At 42.1% G+C, this 23,785-nt stretch overlaps 1 protein-coding gene across 16 annotated transcripts in view; it reads left to right on the forward strand.

Annotated features, from left to right (window-relative positions):
- Positions 1–23,785, forward strand: part of RBM6 (RNA binding motif protein 6) — a 137,100-nt gene that overhangs the window by 40,066 nt on the left and 73,249 nt on the right. For 11 of the 16 annotated variants that reach the window (XM_047447131.1, NM_001349192.2, NM_001349193.2 and 8 more), the window contains one exon: positions 19,225–19,298. The exons of 4 other annotated variants lie outside the window; for them this stretch is intronic. In XM_047447131.1, coding sequence (XP_047303087.1) covers positions 19,225–19,298 — 74 coding nt within the window. Of the gene's footprint in view, positions 1–9,383; positions 16,100–19,224; positions 19,299–23,785 lie in introns of those variants that run through there. One more of the 16 variants, XM_017005497.2, reaches the window with a different exon arrangement.

The raw sequence follows: 23,785 nt of genomic DNA on the forward strand, positions 1-23,785 counted from the left end.
GCTGGTCTTGAACACCTGACCTCAGGTGATCTGCCCACCTTGGCCTCCCAAAGTGCTGGAATTACAGACGTGAGCCACCATGCCCGGCTGAGAGTATCTTTATTCTTAGAAAATACATAATGAAGTTTTTAGAAGTAAAGTACTGTGATGTATGCAGCTTTCTCTCATGGTTTCGAAAATAATACTTGCTATAAATGGAGAAGGAAGGAAGAGAGTATTGATAAAGTAGATGGATCACAATGTTATTAATAGTTGAATCTGGGGCCACACGCGGTGGCTCACGCCTGTAATCCCAGCACTTTGGGAGGCCAAGGCAGGTAGATCATCTGAGGTCAGGAGTTTGAGACCAGCCTGGCCAACATGGCGAACGAAACCTGTCTACTAAAAAATACAAAAATTAGCCGGGCGTGGTGGCGGGTGCCTGTAATCCCAGCTACTCGGGAGGCTAAGGCAGGAGAATCACTTGAACTCGGGAGGCGGAGGTTGCAGTGAGCCAAGATCACGCCATTGCACTCCAGCCTGGGCGACAGAGCAAGAATTCATCTTAAAAAAAAAAAAAAAAAAAGTTGAACCTGGGTAAAGCATATATGAATCTTTTCCCTGTACTATTATTATTGCAATTTTTTTGTAACTTGGAAATTATTTCCAATAAAAAGTTGAAAAACTGACAAAACTGATTTATTTTATTTTATTTTTTATTTTTTTGAGACGGAGTCTTGCACTGTCACCAGTGCTGGAGTGCAGTGGCGCGATATCGGCTCACTGCAACCTCCGCCTCCTGGGTTCAAGCGATTCTCCTGCCTCAGCCATCGGAGTAGCTGGGATTATAGGCGCCTGCCACCATGCCCAGCTAATTTTTTGTATTTTTTAGTAGAGACGGGGTTTCACCATGTTGGCCAGCCTGGTCTCAAACTGACCTCATGATTCGTCCACCTCTGCCTCCCAAAGTGCTGGGATTACAGGCATGAGCCACTGCGTCCGGCCTATATTTTATCTTTAAATGATCAGCAGAAACCTTGTAAGCTGAAGACTGCAATCAACAGCTTATGTCAAGTAAACTATAGAGCAGTGGTTCTCAGAGTGGATCCTGGACCATCATCATCTCTTTACCCCTTGGGAACTTGTTGGAATCCAAATTCTTAAGCCCCATCCTAAACCTACTGAATCAGAAACTCTGGGGTGGGGCCCAGTAGCCTGTGCTTTTAAGAAGTCCTCCAGATATTTTTAATGTACCCTGAGGACCACTGGCAGTAGATAAAGTGTTTGTTTAGATTCTTTATTCTAGAACTTTTGTATAGTTTAAAAGTGACTTAATAATAAGCAAGTGGACCTTTTGTAAGTAGACAAAGCTAATGCTTATGTGCTTTAGGAGCCAGTGCTGATCACATGCCTTGCCTACCTAATATCAGTTCTCCTGCTCTGCATAGCAGGAGAAGGAGCTGGAGTAGTGTTGGTACTATCTTATGACTTTAGTTATATGTAACTAAGGACATATAACTTAGTTGTTTTTTCTGTTTATATATAGTATACTTCCTCCAGAGATCTTGGAATGGTTGTAGATCTTCTCATTCACACAGTGTTTCTGTGACATATGAATGCAGGCAGAATTGCTTTTGATTTTTAGGTTTGTTTGCATACTACGTAGTATATAAGCTTGCTGTGATATTTTTCCAAAAGGGATTTATATCATTTAAGCAAAAATGATACAGCTTCTGGATTATGTTTCCTAATAAGGCTCAAACATAGAAAGTAATTATAGTAACTGAAGTGCTACAGAATTACTTTAGTACTGGTTTATTAACTAATGTCACAAAGTTAGAGGATTACTAAGGTGGTGTTAGTAGGAAGAAGCAATATCTTGCTTTAGCCCGTCAGTGTTCATGTGGTGAATGGACAGTCTCTGTATTCTTGGGAAGGAAAATTCTTCTTGGAAAGTGAGTATTTGCAATGACTAGGTCAGTCACTTGGTCTGTTGCCTGGCATTTTGGGTCTACTGAAAGTGACGTTGTAGCAAAGGCCCTGTACCTTCTGCATTTCTTTTCTTTTCTTTTTTTTTTTTTTTTTTTTTTTTTTTTGGTAGAAACAAGGTCTTGCTTTGTTGCCCAGGCTGCCCTTGACCTCCTGTCAAGCAGTCCTCCCACCTTAGCTTCCTGAGTAGCTGGGACTACAGGCGTGTGCCACCATGCCTGGTTAATGTAAATTTGTTTGGTTTTTTTGAGACAGAGTTTCACTCTTGTTGCCCAGGTTGGAGTGCAGTGACGTGATCTCAGCTCACTACAGTCTCTGCCTCCTGGGTTCAAGCGATTCTCCTGCCTCAGTCTCCCAAGTAGCTGGGCTTACAGGCACCCGCCACCACGCCCAGCTAATTTTTTGTATTTTTTTAGTAGAGACGGGGTTTCATCATGTTGGCCAGGCTGGTCTTGAACTCCCGAGCTCAGGTGATCCACCCACCTCGGCCTCCCAAAGTGCTGGGATTACAGGTGTGAGCCACCGTGTCTGGCCTATTTTTAAATTTTTTTTGAGACAGAGTCTCTCTCAGTCACCCAGGCTGGAGTGCAGTGGTGCAATCTCAGCTCACTGCAGTCTCTGCCTCCTGAGTTCAATTCTCCTGCCTCAGCCTCCCTAGTAGCTGGGATTACAGGCCTGCCATCGTGCCCAGCTAATTTTTGTATTTTTAGTAGAGACAGGGTTTCACCATGTTGGCCAGGCTGGTTTCAATCTCCTGACTTCAAGCAATCCACCTGCCTCGGCCTCCCAAAGTGCTGGGATTACAGGCATGAACCACCACGCCTGGCCTAAATTTTTTTTTTGTAGAGACAGGGTCTCACGCTGTTGCTCAGGCTGGTCTTACACTCCAAGGCTCAAGCAATCCTCCTGCCTTGGACTCCCAAAATGCTGAGATTACAAGTGTAAGACACTGAGGCCAGCTGCCCTTTACATTTCTTAAGGGTAACAGGCTCATGTCCTTTCATTATTCACAATTTAAATATTTTGAGTCTTTACTTCTGTGTCAATATAACAGAAGTAACTTCCTTACGAAGAAAATTCCAGAGGGAATCTTTCAATGTAGGGATAGAAATCCATTGTGAAACTCGAGAATTGACACTGATGATATAAAACATGCACAGTAGCCGAGTGTGGTGATGTGTGCGTGTAGTCTTAGCTACTCAACAGTCCGAGACATGAGCTCAGGAGTTTGTGACCAGCATGGGCAATATAGTGAGACTCTGTCTCAAAAAAAGGAAAAAAAAAAGTGCATAGTTTATGGTATCCCAACTGGAGGAGCTAAAGACAGAATAGCTTAACATCATTTAGAAAAAAAATTATAATTGAAAAGTGCAAATACACATTTTGCAGTGTTTTTGGCATTTACAAAATATGTAAACACTTTTAGTTTCTTAGGGAAAAGATGACGATAGGCTGATTGAAAAATATCATTTTTACTTGTCACATCTCTAAAACAGCAGAAGTTCTTGTTTTTAACCAGGAGTCCTATCAGGTTTGATACAACCTTCGGGGAGGATGTGGCAGTTGAAATTTAAGGAAACTTAGTTTCCTTAAGGTGGCTGAGCTTAAAAAATCAAAATGTTTAGGAAGGCAGGAGACACTAATAGGGCTGGGCTAGTCTTGTGGAGGCAGTGGATGGACGCTTTGGCTGGCCTAGGGAAGAATCTGTGATTCAGTGCTGCAGGGATCAGGTGATCCTGGTGAGAGAGGTCCTGGAACAAGGGTTAATTTGGTCATTTTTGGAATGACCTGGGATTTGGCTTATTTATTTTATTTTTAAAATTTCCCGCTGGGCACAGTGGCTCAAACCTGTAATTCCAGCACTTTGGAACGCCAAGGCCAGTGGATCACTCGAGCTCAGGAGTTCGAGACCACCCTGGGCAACATGGTGAAACTCTATCTCTCCAAAAAAAATACAAAAAAAATTAGCTGGATGTGGTGGTGCATGCTTGTAGTCCCAGCTACTTAGGAGGCTAAAGCAGGAAGATCACTTGAGCTAGGGAGGTGAGGGTGGAGGTTGCAGTGAGCCAAGATCATGCCACTGCACTCCAGCATGGGCAACAGAGAGAGACCTTGTCTCAAAAAAATAAAATGGTGAATGTAAAATAAAATGGTAGCTCACGCCTATAATCCTGGTACTTTGGGAGGCCGAGATGGGTGGATCACTTGAGGCCAGGAGTTACAGACCAGCCTGGTCAATATGGCAAAACTCCCATCTCTACTAAAAATACAAAAACTAGCTGGGCTGGTGGTGTATGCCTATAATCCCAGTTACTCAGGAGGCTGAGGCAGAGGTCACAGTGAGCTGAGATCACACCACTGCACTCCAGGCTGGATGACAGAGTGAGACCCTGTCTAACGTGACATCACATCACATCACATCACATCACATCGCATCGCATCGCATCGCATCGCATCGCATCGCATCGCATCGCATCGCATTGCATCACATCACATCACAACATAACATAAATTTTCAAGGCAGAAATCTTGTAGTCAGCCTTACTGTTTGTTGACAAGGACACGGCCCTGAGCACAGAAATCTCGGCAGTTGATAAAGCCAAGAAGAAGGATACTAATTAAAGAAATTTTCAGATTTTGCATCTTCTGGCATCTCAGCTAAATAGCTCTGAGGAGGAGGATGCCACTTACCAGTTTTGAGACACAGGCAGGTTATATTATTTTCCTGAAAACCATTTAGCTGAGATGGAATTTGCCTCTCTGAGGTTGGGGAAGGTGTTTGAACTCTGTTTACAGCCCTCTGTCAGTTCCACTGCCTTGCTGAGTTCCCTCACCCTTCTTTAGATAGAATTGCTGTTGGCTTCTATAGTCCTCACTTACCTCTTTTGCCAAATGCTCAGGTAGCCTTGGCTGAGTCTTCCAGGTTTGATAAGGCTGTATGGGGCTTCCTATGCCTTTTGGTAGTTAGAAGTCACTGAAGAGGTACTTCTGCTACAGTGACAAGAAGAAAAGGGCATTACTCAGCTTGTATAGTGCAAGGGCTGCTTGACTCCCAGCTTCAGTCTAGGCAGGGGAATTTATTTATACAATTACCTTAAATGAGCACCAGATAGAGGCCATCTATAAAAACTGTTTACAGGATTTAAAAATACGTTGACATTGGCTTCTTCCTTTAACTTTCTGCTTGCAACAGAACATCTGATGCGACCTATGCTGCTCACTGTTTCTAGGTTACATTCTCTACCCTTGCAGTGTAAATTAATTTTTGCCTGGTTCCATGTTTCTTGCTTAGGTTATCTCTTAGGTCTTTTGTCTGATTTAAATATAAGCCTTCTTAGGACTAGATAGTGGTGATGGTTGCACTACTTTGTCAATATACCACTGAATTGTATGTATTCACTCTTTTAAGAATGAGTTTATTTTTATTTTTATTTTTATTTTGAGATAGAGCCTCACTCTGTCGCCCAGGCTGGAGTGCAGTGGCGTGATCTCAGCTCACTGCAACCTCCACCTCCCGGGTTCACGCCATTCTCCTGCCTCAGCCTCCCGAGTAGCTGGGACTACAGGCGCCTGCCACCACGCCCGGCTAATTTTTTGTATTTTTAGCAGAGACGGGGTTTCACTGTGTTAGCCAGGATGGTCTCGATCTCCTGACCTTGTGATCCGCCCACCTCGGCCTCCCAAAGTGCTGGGTTTACAGGCGTGAGCCACCATGCCTGGCCTTAAGAATGAGTTGATTGTTCTTAGTCTCAGTTGAGTACATTGTGTTATGTATAGAAAATGTTATATTTTCATTTTTAAAAATTATTATTATTATTTTGAGATGGGGTCTCACTTTGTCACCCAGGCTGGAGTGCAGTGGCACGGTCTTGGTTCACTGGCAACCTCCACCTCCCAGGTACAAGTGATTCTTCTGCATCAGCCTCCTGAATAGCGGGAATTACAGGCGCCTGCCACCAAGCCTAAGTAATTTTTGTATTTTTTTTTTTTAGTAGAGACGGGGTTTCACCATGTTAGCCAGGCTGATCTTAAACTCCTGACCTCAAGTGATCCATTCGTCTCAGACTCCCAAAGTGCTGGGATTACAGATGTGAGCCATTGCGCCCAGCCCATTTTAAAAAATTAAACTGGCCTGGTGCGGTGGCTCACGCGTGTGATCCCAGCACTTTGGGAGGCCGAGGCAAGCGGATCATGAGGTCAGGAGATTGAGACCATCCTGGCTAACATGGTGAAACCCCATCTGTACTAAAAAATACAAAAAATTAGCCGGGCATGGTGGCGGGCTCCTGTAGTCCCAGCTAATTGGGAGGCTGAGACAGGAGAATGGCATGAACCCGGGAGGCAGAGCTTGCAGTGAGCCGAGATAGCGCCAATGCACTCCAGCCTGGGCAACAGAGCAAGACTCCGTCTCAAAAAAAAAAAAAAACAAAACAAAAAAAAACCAAAACATTAAACCATACTCTCTAACTGTGAAGAAGTTGTGATTTATTCTTTAGTGTTACCTGCCATTCTTTTTGTCTCTTTCTCTCTCTTCTCTTCTCCTCTCTTCTCTTCTCTCTTCTTCCCTCCCTTCCCCTCCCCTCCCCTCCCCTTCTCTTTTCTTCTCTTCTCTTTTCTTTTCTTTCAGAGTTTTGCTCTGTTGCCCAGGATGGAGTGCATTGGCATGCTCACGGCTCACTGCAGTGTCAACCTCCCAGGTTCAAGCTGTCCTCCTACCTCACCCTCCCTAGTAGCTGGGACTATAGACATGCACCACCATGCCTAATTATTTTGTATTTTTTGTAGAGACGAGGTTTTGCCATGTTGCCCAGGCTGGTCTTGAACTCCTGAGCTCAAGTGAGCTACCTGCCTCAGCCTCCCAAAATGCTGTGATTACAGGTGTGAGCCTTATTTTATTATTTTTTTTTGGGACAGAGTCTCTCTCTGTCCTCCAGGCTGGAGTGCAGTGGCACGATCTTGGCTCACTGCAACCTCTGCTTCTCGGGTTCAAGCAATTCTCCTGCCTCAGCCTCCCAAGTAGCCTCCCAAAGTGCTGGGATTACAGGCATGAGCCACCATGCCAGGCCTCTGATGCATATATTTTTTAAAAATAGTATTTTCCACCTTACAGTGTATTTAAGAGTTTGTAAATTTCCTTTTTTGTTTTCTTTTTGGAACAGTGTTGCTCTGTTGCCCAGGCTGGAGTGCAGTGACATGATCTTGGCTCATTGCAACCTCCACCTCCCAGATTCAAGTGATTCTCCTGCCTCAGCTTCCCGAGTAGCTGGGATTACAGGTGCCCGCCACTACGCCCAGCTAAATTTTTTGTAATTTTAGTAGAGACAGGTTTCACCATGTTGGCCAGGCAGGTCTTGATCTCCTGACCTCAAGTGATCCGCCCACCTCGACCTCCCAAAGTCCTGGGATTACGGACATAAGATACTGTGCCTGGCTGAGTTTGTAAATTTCTTTCTTTCTTTTTTCTTTTTTTTTTGAGACAGAGTCTTACTCTGTCACCTGGGCTAGAATGCAATAATGCGATCTCTGCTCACTGCAACCTCTGCCTCCTGGGTTCAAACAATTCCCCTGCCTCAGCCTCCTGAGTAGCTGGGATTACAGCCGCCTGCCACTATGCCCAGCTAATTTTTGTATTTTTTGTAGAGATGGGGTTTTGCCGTGTAGGCCAGGCTGGTCTAGAACTCCTGACTTCAGGTGATCCACCCACCTTGGCCTCCCAAGCGTGGGGATTACAGGTATGAGCCACCACGCCCGGTCATCAAAGATAATGTTTTTAATGATCAGGAGCACTTTGAGATGTTTAGAACAATCTGAAACCTGATTTCCAAGCCATCTCAAAATATACTTTGGTAATCAAGACAGGGAAATGATGGTGTTATATCATTTGTGGGACTCAACTGATTTTGTTGAGTATTGATTTTGCTGTGGGATTCCTTGTTCTCTTGGTTGTGTTGGGCCTACTGCTTTTTAAAAAAGTATTTTGAGACAGGGTCTTACTCTGTTGCTCAGGCTGGAGTGTAGTGGCGCAGTCTCTTGTCTCTGCAACCTCAATCTCCTGGGCTCAAGGGATCCTCCCACCTCAGCCTCCCAAGTAGCTGGGACCACAGGTACCCACCATCACACCTGGCTAATTTTTGTATTTTTTGTAGACATGGGGGTCACTGTCTTGCCCAGGCAGGTCTTGAACTCCTAAGCTCAAACAACCGTCCTGCCTTGCCCTCCCAAATTGCTGGAATTACAGGTGTGAGCCAGTGCGCCTGGCCTTCTTTTTTTTTTTTAACCACTATTTTTTAGAACTAGATTTGGCCTGGAAAGAGAAAAAAGATATTCCTCGACTTGATCTATATATTTTATGGTTCATTCATTTGCTTTAGAGGTAGAAGGAGCAGGAAAAAGTACAACAAAACAAAATCTTACCTTTGGTGTTTAATTTGAATGCCCACAGATGCTTTTGCATTTATTAGTAGTGAGTTTTCATAATTATCAAATATGTAGTAGAAAAATCTGGCTGTGCATGGTGGCTAATGCCTGTAAATCCCTATATGCTGGGAGGCTGAGGCAGGTGGATTTTCTGAGCTCAGGAGTTCAAGACCAGCCTGGGCAACATGGCAAAACCCCATCTCTGCCAAAAATAAGCTGGGTGTGGTGGCACACGCCTGTGGTACCAGGTACTCCGGAGGCTGAGCTGAGAAGATTGTGGAGGTTTCAGTGAGCCAAGATTGCACCACTGCACTCCAACCTGGGTGACAGAGTGAGACTCCATCTCAAAAAAAAGAAAAAAAAATCTCCTTGTCCAGGAGCTGTGTTGAGTGGGCTGTGGACTAGCAGGAATTCATAGCTCTGGTGAAAGATGACTAGATAATGTCATTTTTTTTTTAAAAGTCCCTGAATGATTGTGACAGGGTAGGAAAATCATCACATAGCAAAATCTTCATTAGATTTTCCCTAATGACTTATCAACTGGGTTTGTGCACCAAACGAAACAACTTCCTGCCTTTGTTTGTCTGAAAGTCAAAGAAAATATTATTCAGGTATATTATATTGTACTCCATGCTACAGAAGTTTCTGGCAGCAATATAGGTTATATGCCAATCGGTTAAATAATATTTGTGGGCCAGGCCCGGTGGCTCATGCCTGTAATGCCAGCACTTTGGGAGGCCGAGGCGGGTGGATCACTTGAGGTCAGGAGTTCAAGACCAGCCAGGGCAACATGGTGAAACCCCATCTCTACTAATAAAACAAAAATTAGCCTAGTGTGGTGGCACACGCCTGTAATCCCAGCTACTCAGGAGGCTGAGGTAGGAGAATCGCTTGAACCCGGAAGGTGGAGGTTGCAGCTGAGATTGTGCCATTGCACTCTAGCCTGGGGCCACAAGAGTGAAACTGTCTCAAAATAAATAAATAAATAAATAAAATAATAATAATATTTGTGTAAGTACAGGGATATGTTTCTTCAACTCCAAAGTATGAGTTAATGTGCATATGCCAACTCTAGAAATAAAGTATTAAGTCAAAACTCCCAAGAAAATTTCCCCAAAAAGTTGCTAACAGACGTTATTTTATTTTATTTATTTATTTTGATACAGAGTCTCTCCCACTGTCACCCAGGCTGGAGTGGTGCAGTGGCATCATCTCGATTCACTGTAGCCTCCGCCTCCCAGATTCAAGCCATTCTCGTGCCTCAGCCTCCCTTGTAGCTGGGATTACAGTTGCCCACCACCACGCCTGGCTGATTTTTGTATTTTTAGTAGAGATGAGGTTTCACCATGTTGGCCACGCTGGTCTCGAACTCCTGACCTCAAGTGATCTGCCCGCCTTGGCTTCCCAAAGTGCTGGGATTACAGTTGTGAGCCACTGCACCTGGCCTTTAATTTTAATTTCTAAAACTATGGAGTAATACTACATTGAGGGAACAGAATTTTCTATTCCTTCATTTGTATTATTATTAAATACAGTCATGCATTGCATAATGACAGGAATACATTTTGAGAAATGGATCAAGTGATTTTTTCATTGTGTAAACATCATAGGGTATATTTACACAAACTAGATGTTATAGCCTACTATACAGCTAGGCTATATTGTATAGCCTGTTACTCTTCGGCCACAAAACTGTACAGTGTGTTACTGTATTGAACACCATAGGCAATTGAGACACAACGGCATTTGTGTATCTAAATATAGAAAAGGTAATGCATTGTGCCACCAAATCAACAACAGCTATGATGTCACTGGGTGATAGGAATTTTTCAGTGCCATTATAATCTTATGGAACCATTGTTTCATATGCATGCAGTTTGCTGTTGATCAAAATGTAGTTAAGCAGCACATGGCTGTAATTAAAACACTATTGTTTGTTATAATAGAAAATAAAATTTTTCTTTTTAGCCTCTGTATTAATAAAGAGCACTAGAAAGTACTTTGTTTATCAGATAATGAATATGTTTGACAGATGTACATACGTATTTATCAAATGAATCTTTTTTTGTGGGGGAAACCTTAACTAAGAATAGGCCTGTGTTTTAAAATGGCTGCCTGGAGGACAAGTGCTATAAGGAAATTTCAGTGGTATTTGCTTGACCTGGCATTAAGTGGGGGGAAAAACAAGCCCCAGGTGAATTGATAGATGGATGTCTGAACATGTTCAGGAATGATGTTTTGAACAATGTTTGCCTCCTGTGTCATGTAGGCAGAGAGATGATAAAAGTTTTTTTCCCCTCTTGATACCAGGTAATTCTGATACCGACTACCAGAAGTTAGCTTCAGACTCCGCAGGTTGAAGGGCTTTGTCCCATAAGACCATTCTTACTTCAGACACCAATTGCAATGATCAGTTATCAGGTCCCAAGGTTACCTACACTTATGTCTGATTTGGCTACAAAATTGGAGGTTCCCACAGTCTACCCCTTCAGATTTGATAACTTTCTAATATGGCTGCAAAAAACTCAGAGAAATACTTATGTTTATCAGTTTTTTATAAAGGATACAATTAGCCAGATGAGGAGATAGATAGGGCAAAGTCCAGGAGGGTCCTGAGTGTTGAGTGTAGGAGTCTCTGTCCTGTGGAATATGCCACCGTCCCAGCATGTAGATGTATTCACCAATCAGGAAGCTCTCTGAGCCCTTTTGTGTAGTTGTTTTTATGGAGGTCTCATTATGTAGGCAGGATTGATTAAATCATTGACAGTGGGTGATTTGCTCAAGCCCCTCTCCCCTCATCAGAAGTTGGTGGGTGGTACTGAAAGTTCTGAACTTCTGGTCAAGGCTTTGTCTTTCTAGGTAGCCCTCATCCTGAAGCTATCTAGGGGCTTTCCAAGAGTTGTCTTATTAGAACAAAGAACACTCCTATCACCCTTATCACTCAGGAAATTCCAAGGGTTTTAGGAGCTGTATGCCAGGAACCTGGGACAGACCAAGTATCTTTCTGTGATACCACAGAATGGGACCCCAAAAGCCAGCTCCAGCTGGTGTCTAGTGCCTTTAGTTGGGCACTGGATATCGGTTACAGGGCATAAGTGGCCCAGTGGGGTTGCCGTTTAACCCATCTCTGCTGTATTAACCTCATGTACCTTAGCTCATGGCTAGGTCGTTTCAAGTCTCACCTAATGTCAGTTGTTTCATCCTTCTCTGGATGCATGTTCACTTCTGGAATAGGTGAATATCTGGGCCACTATGTTTGCTGTCATCCTGAGCAAACTTCCAGCTTAGAAACCAGCTTTATGGAATCATCCCAGAGCCTTTATTTTATTTTATTTTATTTTATTTTATTTATTTATTTATTTATTTTTTGAGGCAGAGTCTTGCTCTGTAGCCCAGGCTGAAATGCAGTGGCAAAGTCATGGCTCACTGCAGCTTCAACCTCCCAGGCTCAAGCAATCCTTCCGTTTCAGCCTCCCAAGTAGCTGAGATTACAGGTGTGTACCACGACACCTGGCTGATTTAAAACCTTTTGTAGAGATAGTGTCCCAGTGTGTTTGCCCAGGCTGGTCTCAGACTCCTGGGGTTAAGCGATCCTCTTGCCTCAGCCTCCCAAAATGTTGGGATTACGGGCGTGAGCCACTGAACTTGGTCCCAGAGCCTTTTAGAACAGTGTTGAGTTGCCCTTTATTTGCACCAGGGCTAAGGCAGTAGAAAAAAAATGTTTATGGGCCATGTTTTTCTTCCTAGTCAAAATAAAAATAGCCATGTAATCTATGGAGGCAGCAGATATGTTGTTAGTATACACTAGAAGTCAGGAAATTCGTACTGCCTTTCAGCTGCTAAAGTACTGGGACATATTTGAGAAGCAGTAATGCAGAGGCAGCTGTCTGATCTTTGATCTCTGATAATGCTTATTTCATTGCATCCCTGAAACCACCCTGCAAAGGATTTATCATCTTTGCTGCTTTGCATATGGAATAGCATAGGCCCAGAGAGACGTAGCTTGACTGCAATCACATGGTGAGTTAGTTGTAGCTTCTGCAAATGTACAGAACTAAGAAGCTACTTTTCTTGTGTGTTATTCTAGTGATGATGGTCATTATAATTGATGTACCTGATATTATGCTAGGTTTAGGGATACAGAAATGAAAGAAGATCACAGTCCCTCATCTGGGACCTCTGTTTTTTTGGTGTCACCTCTCTGCATAGACAGTTCTGCAGTATTGATGCTGCTGTTCTGGTTGATCCTTCTGTCATGCCTGCACCATCTTTTCTGCCAGACTGAAGTGTTCTTGCTTGGGGAAAAGCAGATTTGCAAAGGTTCTCTTTTTCCTGATTGTTGCTTTGCAGATTGAGTATATTTGTTTGTTTGTTTTTAAGTGAACAAAAGTTGAATGAGATTGATTACTGGCTCTTTAAAGAATAATTACTCCCCCTTTTGACTTATGTAGCATCTTGAGGTGATCTATGACCGTTTGTACTTGTCATGACTTCCATTAGATTAAACTCTGGGGCAAAGACGTTGCTCTTCATTGTGCTCATATGACACCATTACTGCCAGTGGAATTGAAATAAATTGAGTAAGGGCGAGTGTTTCCTAACAAATGTTATCCTGGGCCTGAGGAACCATCATCAAGATGGAGTGGCCCTGCGATTAATTTTGGACTTAAAGCAAAAAACAAACAAATTTTTTTCTTTAAATAACCAGTTGGCACAGATACAGAATAAAATAAGATAGATCCACGTGTAGTTTTTGAAAATTTAGGTCAGGTGGCTCACTCCTATAATCCCAGCACTTTGGGAGGCCAAGGCGTGTGGATAACTCGAGGTTAGGAGTTTAAGACCAGTCTGGCCATCATGATGAAACCCCATCTCTACTAAAAGTACAAAAATTAGCTGGGCATGGTGGCGCATGCCTGTAAACCTAGCTACTCAGGAGGCTAAGGCAGGAGAATTGCTTGAACCTGGTAGGCGGTAGTTGCAATGAGCCGAGATTGCGCCACTGCACTCCAGCCTGGGTGACAGAGTGAGACTCTGTCTCAAAAGAAAAAAAAATTTAAGAAATAATCATCAGTGTATATCTTCCTTTTTTCATTTTTCTTTAAAAAAAAAAACAACCCTTGTATGCATAGCTGAAGGAGAAATAATTGAAAGTGTTTATAAGATTTCAAGGTGATGGGCTGGACACAGTTGCTCATGCCTAATAATCTGCACGCCTGTAATCCCAGCTATTCGGGAGCCTGAGGCAGGAGAATCACTTGAACCCAGGAGGCAGAGGTTGCAGTGGGCCGAGATAGTGCCATTGCACTCTAGCCTGGGCGACAAAGGTGAAACTCCATCTCAAATAAAAAAAAAGATTTCAAGGTGATGGGTTTCATGTGGACCAATTTTATCCTTCCCTGATGATAATTTGACATATGAGTCAGATATTTTCCTAATTTTCGTAATTCGAGTGGGATTGTGTGTTTGTTTGTTTGTTTTGAGACAGGGTCTCACTCTGTTGTTCAGGCTGGAGTGCAGTAGGCCAGTCATGGCTCACTGTAGCCTTGGCTTCTCAGGCTCAAGTGAGCCTCCCACCTCAGCCTCTTAAGTAGCTGGGACTATAGGTGCGTGCTCCCACACCTGGCTAATTTTTTCTGTTTTTTTTTGTAGAGACAAGGTCTCATTATATTGCCGAGGCTGGGACTCCTGAGCTCAAGTAATCCTCCTACCTTGGTCTCCTAAAGTGCTGGGATTATATCCACGAGCCACCACACCCAGCCTCGCATGAGATTTTAACAGAGCAAAGTACCTGTTGGAAATCTTGCGCACAAAGCCTCCTTTATTCTGTTATTCCCACTGACAGGAATTCAGATACCTGGATCAATTCTGTTTCGGTTTTGCTAAAATCTCTAACTTGATATTTTACTTTTCTAAAAACCTGTATTATCAATGAAATGGAATTAGGAAAACAGGACCTATAGAAGTTAAGACCTCTTCAATCTATTGATGTTTCATGGTGCCTTTTATATTCAAAATGCTTTGTTCTCACAAAAATAATACTTTTTGTTTGGAGAAAAAGGCTGTGGGGTGTGTGTGTGTGTGTGTGTGTGTGTTTTCCTCTCAAAGATAGCAGTAAAATAAACTCCTTCTGACAAAGGCTTCTTAAAAGAAAGGAGAAAAAAAAACCTTCCTGCTAATTGTGTTCTTTAAAATCCTGATTCCCCGTTTTACTTTCTGGATGTGTATTCTGGGCTTTTTCAATGTCAACCAATACTCTCTTGATGGGAAATTCAGCTGGATTTGGGTATGTTCATTGGGTTTTCCTAGAACAGTTTGAAGATCCATCTCATTTACCTAAACAAATATTCCTTATAATTATTATGAAAATTGGGCCTGTTATAGACTAATAATTGACTTAAACCATACAGGGTTATGTTTGTCAGTATCTCGTGAGTCAGCTTTTCTAGGGGCAGAGATTGAAGAGTTAGTTCTGAGATTGAATACTATTTATCAGGGTTTTGTTTTGTGTACCTTATTCTCCTGTAACCACCTGGTTGGCTTTTATCATAGATACATTTTTGGGAAACAGGCAACCACATGGTTAATGAAGATAGAGAAGACGTGAAATTTGTTACCTTTATAGATTTTTTCCCCTTGCCCTGTTCTCATTCTTCTCATTTGCCTAAAAAAAAATATAAGGAGGCCGGGTGCGGTGGCTCACGCCTGTAATCCCAGCACTGAGGCAGGCAGATCACCTGAGCTCAGGAGTTCGAGACCAGCCTGGCCAACGTGGCGAAACTCCGTCTCTACTGAAAATACAAAAATTAGCCGGGCGTGGTAGTCCCAGCTACTGCAGGTACCTGAGGCAGGAGAATTGCTTGAGCCTGAGAGGCAGAGGTTGCAATGAGCCGAGATTGTGTGCCATTGCATTCCAGCCTGGGTGACAAAGCAAGACTCTGTCTCAAAAAAAAAAAAAAAAGTATAAGGAGTATTCACATTTCTATGAGATCTGTAAATTTAGGTTAGAAAATTTAGTTAACTGTGTTTTGTAATAGTCATATAAATAAGCACAAAGACCCTCCAGACTTCTTCCCAGCATGTGACAGTGGAAGAAAGGGGTAATAAAGTAGATTTTTTTGTTACTCTCATTGGTAAAAATAAGTCTGTCCATGGGAAGGTTAACACTGAGTTTACCATCTTGATGATTCCATATGGTTCCTAGCAATTCTAATCTCAAAGTTGGTTGGCAGAATGTTTAGGTCTTTGGGTAGAATATCTTCTGTGCCTTTTCTGTGAATTGTAAAATTACATTTGGGAAATAAAGAAAAAAATCCCTGATTATCCCACTATAGCAATACAACCACTGTAAACATTTTGGTATACAGTTGTGTTGCATTATATGCATTTTCTGATTTTTGTATGTCCACCTGTGCTTATTTGAACTGTATCCCCCTCCCCACTTCCCACACCCTGTTTTCTCACTCCTGGAGTGAGCATGGGCAGTGGGGATGAGACTCGCCTGTGGCTTCAGTTTGTCTCCTTTTCTAAGTTTCTCTGAGTGGGCATTCACTGTGCTGGCTGTGATTCTGTTATTTAAAGCAATATATTTTCATACCTTATGGCCCTTAAATGCAAGCCAACCTCTTCATCTGGTGTCAACCAAAGGAAAAGTGATCTGTTGCAGCGCTGGAGGAAAAACTGGCAATGTTGGACTTACCTAAATTGAAAGATGGTATGTTGTTCTTCACCTTGGGGTCTTCAAGTATGATTTTTGACAGTGCATGGTTTTTATCTTACATGCTGACTTTTGTCTCTAACCCTTGAGTTAGATGCAATTTAATTCCAGCCCTTTTTCCCTATATACATTTTACATAATTATCCATAAGGGTATATTCATTTTTAAGGCTCTTAAAATATACTATATCAAGTATCTTTCCATATTGCTATACAATTTTTGTAGCTGTCATTTATAATAAGACATTTTAGTTTTCGTCTTTTCAGAAGAATTTTGGGAGCTAGTATAATCAGCTCCTTAGAATGCTTTCTAATTTGCATACTCAGGTCTACTCACAATAGTTCTGCCATAGATATTTAAAATAGAAGCAACTGTTATGCTGCTAAATTGAATATTTCTTAACTAGGCTTATTTCTTAACAGGGGCATAGATGTATGTTTTCAGGCATATGGGACCCTTTCTGTAACTAGGCTTCTAGAGTTTAGAATTAAGATTATTTAAATTGGTCTATGATCTTATTGAAGAGTGAGAGGCTAGAGTGTAGTGGTTAAAAACATCAACTTGAATCTGGACTGCTTGCATTTAAAGCTCAGTATTGGTACTTACTTGGTTACTTTGATCAGTTTACCTATCCTTTCTTTGCCGCCTTCTACATGGCTAAAATCAGGTTAATAATATTTACCTCTTAAGATAGTATTGTGAATATTAAATCAGTATATACAAAGTATTTAGAATAAAATCTTGAACCAACAAGTTTTATGTAAATATTACTTACTTTCATAGGCTAGTTTGCTAATTGCTGAAAATCCTTATGGCACAACCATGAGTCTTGAACACACAGAATACCTTTTTTTTTTTTAACGTTTTAGGCAGTATAGTTAAACCTTAAATTTCTGTTCTTGTTTGATAGCTAAAGTTTCAGTCAGAATAAATTTAGTGTTGGGCTTGTGAATATAATATTAAATCTGAAGTATGTTGTCAACATATAGTATTGCAGGGTTGATGTCTAGAAATGCTATATTAGATGCTCATAATGTTTTCTGTATCTTTTTCTTCCCAATGTCTACTTGTCCTTTAGCAAAGTATGAACGTTGTCATGAATCTTTTCTCTCTGTCCACAGATTCTGTGTGCTCCTCTGGGCCACAGTAGTTACTTCTTTAAGCACAGAAAGGAAACTTAGGGCTTTGCCAGTTTTAGTATTAGTTCTCTATGTTTTTCATCCGGGCAGCTATGGAGAGGGTTGCTTTCCACACACCTGGGTACTCCATTGATATGTTCTGTAGAGGTAATCAACACACTAGAGAGTACACCTGTTTGTTCCATGGCTAACCCTTTCTGATTGTAGACATGCATTTGAGTGTTTGCAGTGGATATTTGGTGCTAACAGGTGTCTTAGTTCCTTCTGTTATTCTGTAATGTTTCCCAAGAATATTCAGAGCTGTTTATAAAATGCAGAGTGATTTATGTATTAGGTGTTCAATGAGTTTGATCAAGAAGATTCACTTGAAAGGAATTAACTAACAAAGCAGTTTCCATTGTTAATAGGATATGCATGCTGTTTCTCTAAAGTATTTTTATTTCTTCAAAGAGTTATTAAGCAGAGGAGACTGATTTTGTGGTAAGTTTGGAGGGGTTAGTTTTAATCCACGTTGGTCAAAACTAAAAGTAGATTAGAAAATCTATTTCTCATCCTACAGTAGTGCTGAGGTTTCTAGTAGATTGTTTTTCTTCTTCCTAGTCATTTTCTGAAACTCAAAACAAGAATCAACCTATACCATTGTAATGTTTCACAGTTAACTTGGAGTATTTAACAAGTCTAAAATCAAAGTTTATTGTTATTAGTAAAACATTTTGAAGCCATTCATTTCATGTGACAAGGAATCTTATTTCACCAAATGTGGTATGTTTTTAAACTTATACTTTCTATTGTTCTAGTTTTGTTGATCTTTGATATTGATGCAGTGATATCAGTTTCCTATTGTTATATATACTTTGTGGTCAAAATTATCATAGGGTTTTGTGTTTTTCTTTGCCTGAGTTTTGCTTCTCATCTGAACATCACATCTTTTTCTTGCGGTTCCATTTACACAGTGTGATTCCTAGAGATGAGCTTCTTTATCCTCTGAGGCAGTGGAGGAAGCATGGAAGCCACTTGGGGAGCACTGCATTGACAAGTGTATTTTTGTAGTCACATGGTGGCAGTGTCAGGGAAATTATAGGACTGGTTAGATTCTAGTTCAGCAACCTATAAATCCCAGGACTTCCCAGTCTCGTGAGTCATACAACTCTCAGGCCTGTGCTGCAAATGACACTTGCTTAGGAGTAAGGTGAAGGGTATTTTATAGCTCTAATGGTTTGTACAGTTCTTAAACATGTATTGATTGCTAACAACTGCTGTCTTTCTCCCAGCTTGCCCCACCACCAGTCTTTGTGCATAAGCACAATTTTGGACATAGTTATTTGTACTTATTTATGCTTTTACACCTTCTTCCTTTTATAAAGATTTTAGCTGGTTTATGACTTGAGTTGAAACAAGGAAAAAAAGAGGAGACCTGAAATGGTCTGTCCCCTGCCAACCAGAAGCCTCCTGTGGTATCCAAACAGAATAGTTGCCTCAGTCTGTCAGCACTTCTGTCTTTGAAGGTGGTTTCTGCTTGAAAAGTGGTGACTATTAGCATAGCCTGGGGATAATTGCTTTTTTTTCTTCTCTCGGGATACCTTTTTTTTTTTTTTTTTCCAGATACTTTCTTGCTCTTGTCGACTTTGTTTTTCCAGAAGATTTAGCCTGTGGTTAAAATGTTTCGGGTCCCCACGTGAACTCTCTGTGGGATTACCCAATTCTGGGGTACCTTCACCAGATCACCAGTGCTAAAGAGGGCAAAGGATCTTCTTGGTTAATAGAAAAGGCTGTTTTGGAATGAATCTCAAAGTCCAGAAACATCGAGACTTTTCTTCAATACTTTTTTCTATTTGGGGTAGCAACTTTACCTAGTGTAGGGGAGGGAGGGGTTAGTTGGGAGGGCTTGTGTTTAAGGGGTTCAGAAACAGGGGATTTAAGTGTGTCTTTTGTGTTTGCAAGGCACTAACACCACTCCCGTCTGTATTTAAATGCTGTCCCCAGGTTACGACTATGGCTATGTCTGCGTGGAGTTTTCACTCTTGGAAGATGCCATCGGATGCATGGAGGCCAACCAGGTTGCTTTATACTTCGGTCAAATGATGCTGGAAGGATATATTTTTTTATATATGGGGAGGGAGGGTTTCAAATGATTTTACTTTGGAAAGGTACAAGAAGTCTATCTGTGGAGCATACTGTATTCCAACCATCGGTTGTGAGGAAAATCTTTAAAAAGGCTGGAAAGCTTTCTCTACAAAACTTAATGGGCACAGAGTGCATTTTAAAAGCTAGAGCCCAGTTGCTTTTGGACTAGATTCCAAAGACAATAGTTGGAAAAAAAAAAAAAAGACACATCTGGAGTGTTTCCTTTTGGAGTGTGACTGAGATGGTAATCCTGATGCAAAGAATGATCCTTGATTGTCTGTGACCCCAAGGATCTGCCTAGCACAGAAATTCTAGGTCAATAGTTACACCCAGACCTAGGGTGAAGACCTCTGATGGTGACTTCTGTGGCATCAGATCCTGCCTGCAGGGGCTACTTCCAAAAGAGAGCTATCAGGGAAGAGAGAGGAGTGGATTGTTGGTGTCTATTGCATTCATCATTGTTTTTTGCCAATTGGAGTTGCATACTCAAGTCCTTGGCTGCGTATAGTCAGAGCTGGTGAATCAGAATCTGTACTCACCTTACGTTTGAACTATCTGGAGTTACTCAGCTTGCCACCTAGATTTTTCATCTATGTCTTTAATAGAACCCTACCTGGTAGTTTTGAGAGGAATTAATAAATAGGTAGAATCCTTCTTGTTATGGTGCTTCCTTGGGGAAAGTTGTTTTCTTTGGGTTGTTTCAGTTCCTCCATCTGTAAAGTAGGAAAAGAAACTTAGGAATATAGTTTGATGTGTTTTTTTTTTCTTTTTTTTTTTTTTTAATGTACCCACTGCCTATACTTAACAGTGTGAATACAGTGGGCCCAGAATCTTTCTTTCTTTCTTTTTTTTTTTTTGAGACGGAGTTTTGCTCTTGTTGCCCAGGCTGGATTGCAATGGTGCGATCTCGGCTCACTGCTACCTCCACCTCCCTGGTTCAAGCGATTCTCCTGTCTCAGCCCCCTGAGTAGCTGGGATTACAGGCATGCGCCACCACGCCGGCTAATTTTGTATTTTTAGTAGAGATGGGGTTTCTCCATGTTGGTCAGGCTGCTCTCGAACTCCAGACCTCAGGTGATCTGCCTGCCTCGGCCTCCCAAAGTCCTGGGATTACAGGCATGAGCCACCGTGCCCAGCCAGGCCCAGAATCTTAAAAGAAGGCTCTGCCAGAGAAGAGTAGTTATTAGATGAGAACTCTTCTTCTTCTGTAGCCTGATGCTTTGTTCAGCTTTGTTTAACTCAGTGTGGCTCATTATACGTACTTTTCTCTTCTTGGCCAAGTTCTCCTCTTATGGGTATGGAGATGACATGCTCTAAATGCTTTGGGAGCAAGCACTCATTAGAGAAGACTTTTGATGTATCCTTATCTTGTTAGTAGTTTAAGCTTGTCAGATCCTTAAAGAATGACAGGCTTAGGACCATATCCCCTAGACTTAAGAGGATTCTCATTGACCATTTGTTCAGTGTCCATCACTGAATCACTTACCAAATACAGTTGACACTCTGTATCCACAGGTTCCACACCCATAGATTCAACCAAATGCTGATTGGACATATTCAGGAAAAAAATGCATTAACACTGCAACAATAAAAAATAATACAGGCCAGGAGTGGTGGCTTACTCTGTAATCCCAACATTTTGGGAGGCCCGGGTGGGAGGATTGCTTGAGGCCAGGAGTTTGAGACCAGCCTGGGCAACACAGGGAGACCCCATCTCTACAAAAAATAAAAGTGAAAAAATTAGCCAAGTGTGGTGGCTATCAACTTGGGAGGCTAAGATGAGAGGATTACTTGAGTCTGGATTGAGACTGCAGTGAGCTGTGATCACTCTGCTGCACTCTAGCCTGGGGTGACAGAGTGAGACCCCGTCTCAAAAAACAAAAAAGTACAGTTAACTATTTATATAGTCTTTATTAGGTATTAGATATAAGTAATCTAGAGATGGTTTAAAGTATGTTGGAGGATGTGTGTAGGTTGTATGCAAATACCATGTGATTTTATATAAGGGACTTGAGCATCCTGAGATTTTTGTGTCCTTGTGGGTCCTGGAACCAATCCCCTGTGGACACCAAGGGACAACTGTACTAACCATGTGTCAGAAACTGCTACATGCCAATTTTGGAGAGAAGAAAAAAGCTTCCAATCTGTGTGCTTTCGGTGGATCCTATTCTGACAGTCTGTCCAATTTTGAGAACACTCATTAATTCATAAGCAGTGAATGTGATTAAGTCGTTCGCCTCTGTGCTAAATACTCAATGTAATAGCTGATAGCTGAGTGCTATAAAGAAAATGAAGCAGGGTATTGGGAGAATGCATCATGGTGGCAATTTTAGAGGGGTGGTCAGGGAAACTTCTTGAGGAGTGACATACATTTAAGTTGTGACTCTTGGCGAATAATGTATCCAGAACACTTACTATAGTACCTAGCACTTGGTAGCATTTGAATTAATTTGAAATTCAGTGTCCTTCTTTCTCTCTCTTACCCTCCTCCACATGTCAAGTAATTTCCAATTATAAATTTTGTGTGTGTGTGTGAGACGGAGTCCAGCCAGGCTGGAGTGCAGTGGCGTAATCTTGGCTCACTGCAACCTCCGCCACCCGGGTTCCAGAGATCCTCCTGTCTCAGCCTCCCAGGTAGCTGGGACTACAGATATGCGCCACCATGCTTGGGTAAATTTTTTTTCTTTTTTTTTTTTTTTGAGATGGAGTCTCGCTCTGTTGCCCAGGCTGGAGTGCGGTGGCACGATCTCAGCTCATTGCAACCTCTACCTCCTGGGTTCAAGTGATTCTCCTGCCTCAGCCTCCCAAATAGCTGGGATTACAGGTGCCCGCCACCACACCTGGCTAATTTTTGTATTTTTAGTAGAGATGGGGTTTCACCATGTTTGCCAGGCTGGTCTGGAACTCCTGACCTCAGGTGATCCGACTGCCTTGGCCTCCCAAAGTGCTGGGACTGCAGGCGTGAGCCACCATGTCCTGCCAATTTTTGTATTATTAGTAGAGATGGGGTTTCACTATGTTGGCCAGGCTGGTCTTGAACTGCAGACCTTAGGTGATCTGCCCACCTTGGCCTCCCAAAGTGCTGGGATGACACGCACGAGTCACCGTGCCTGGCCTTCAATTATAATTATAAGAAAATAAATTTATTTTTATATCTGAAGTTTAATAAAACTAATTCTTTAAGGAAATGGATGTGGATTAAACTCCTTATGACATAGTAAACAATCTTATGAGAGACATAAGAATGTGAGGGAAGAAGTCCTGTCTCCTCAGGGTGAATAAAGTAAATATTTTGGGAGGCTGAGGCGAGCGGATCATGAGGTCAGGAGAGCAAGACCATCCTGACCAACAAGGTGAAACCCCGTCTCTACTAAAATACAAAAAAATTAGCCAGGTGTGGTGGCGCACGCCTGTAGTCCCAGCTACTTGGGAGGCTGGGGCAGGATAATTGCTTGAACCCAGGAGGTGGAGGTTGCAGTGAGCCAAGATTGCACCACTGCACTCCAGCCTGCTGACAGAGCAAGACTCTGTCTCAAGAAAACAATAAAATTGAATAAATAAATAAATAAATAAAATAAATATTTGTGGAAGATAAAATGTGTTTGTAGGCCGGGCACTATGGCTCAAGCTTATAATCCCACCACTTTGGGAGACCAAGGCTGGAGGATCACTTGAGCCCAGGAGTTTGAAATGAGCATGGGGTAAATAGTGAGACCCTGTCTAAATTTAAAAAAAAAAAAAAAAAAAAAAAAGTCTTTGTCTATCCTTTCCCCCAGTTTTACTTACAGACCAAATTGGTATGGATTCTGAGTCACCACGATCTGCTTGGCAACTCTTAGTAGAGCCTGAGTGTGTGTGTGCCTCTGAGAAGGTTACTCCGAAGTACTTTGAGTTTTTTTGTAACTCTTTGCTATTCCGACTCTTGATGTGAAATGTCTTTTATTTATCATTGGCTGGTACTTGTAGGCCTAGGGGATGGAAATAAAGGAATTTTCTGCTAGCTTGCTTTGTCAAATATTGTTGGGTATGTGTGCCTTCGTGAAGTTGCTCAAGATGATAACCAAGGTCCCTCTAGCCTTTTCCTGGTGCCTAGATCAAGCTGTTAAACAGTAGGATGCTCTGCAGCAGTACTGAGCTTTGTGGCTGTGGTGACCGATCAGGGTATCACTTAGGCAGCAGCTGTCTATCTGGAGAAATAATTTCCAACAGGTATGAAGGTATGAATCTGTTAGTCTGTACCATCACCATTTCTGTCTAGGAGAAGGGGGCAGCCAGCAAGCACTGTCAGGCAGAGCCTTTCGTTCCACCCTTCCTGCAAAGTGTATTTCTAGCCCTGTCATATGCCCTTGGCTTTCTTTGTTGTCAAGTCTCTGGGAGATTGAGGGTACATATTATTTCCTTCTGCTTTGTGTGCCCTTGC

Source organism: Homo sapiens, chromosome 3 (assembly GCF_000001405.40).
Source record: "Homo sapiens chromosome 3, GRCh38.p14 Primary Assembly".
In the NCBI taxonomy this organism is placed as follows: domain Eukaryota; kingdom Metazoa; phylum Chordata; class Mammalia; order Primates; family Hominidae; genus Homo; species Homo sapiens.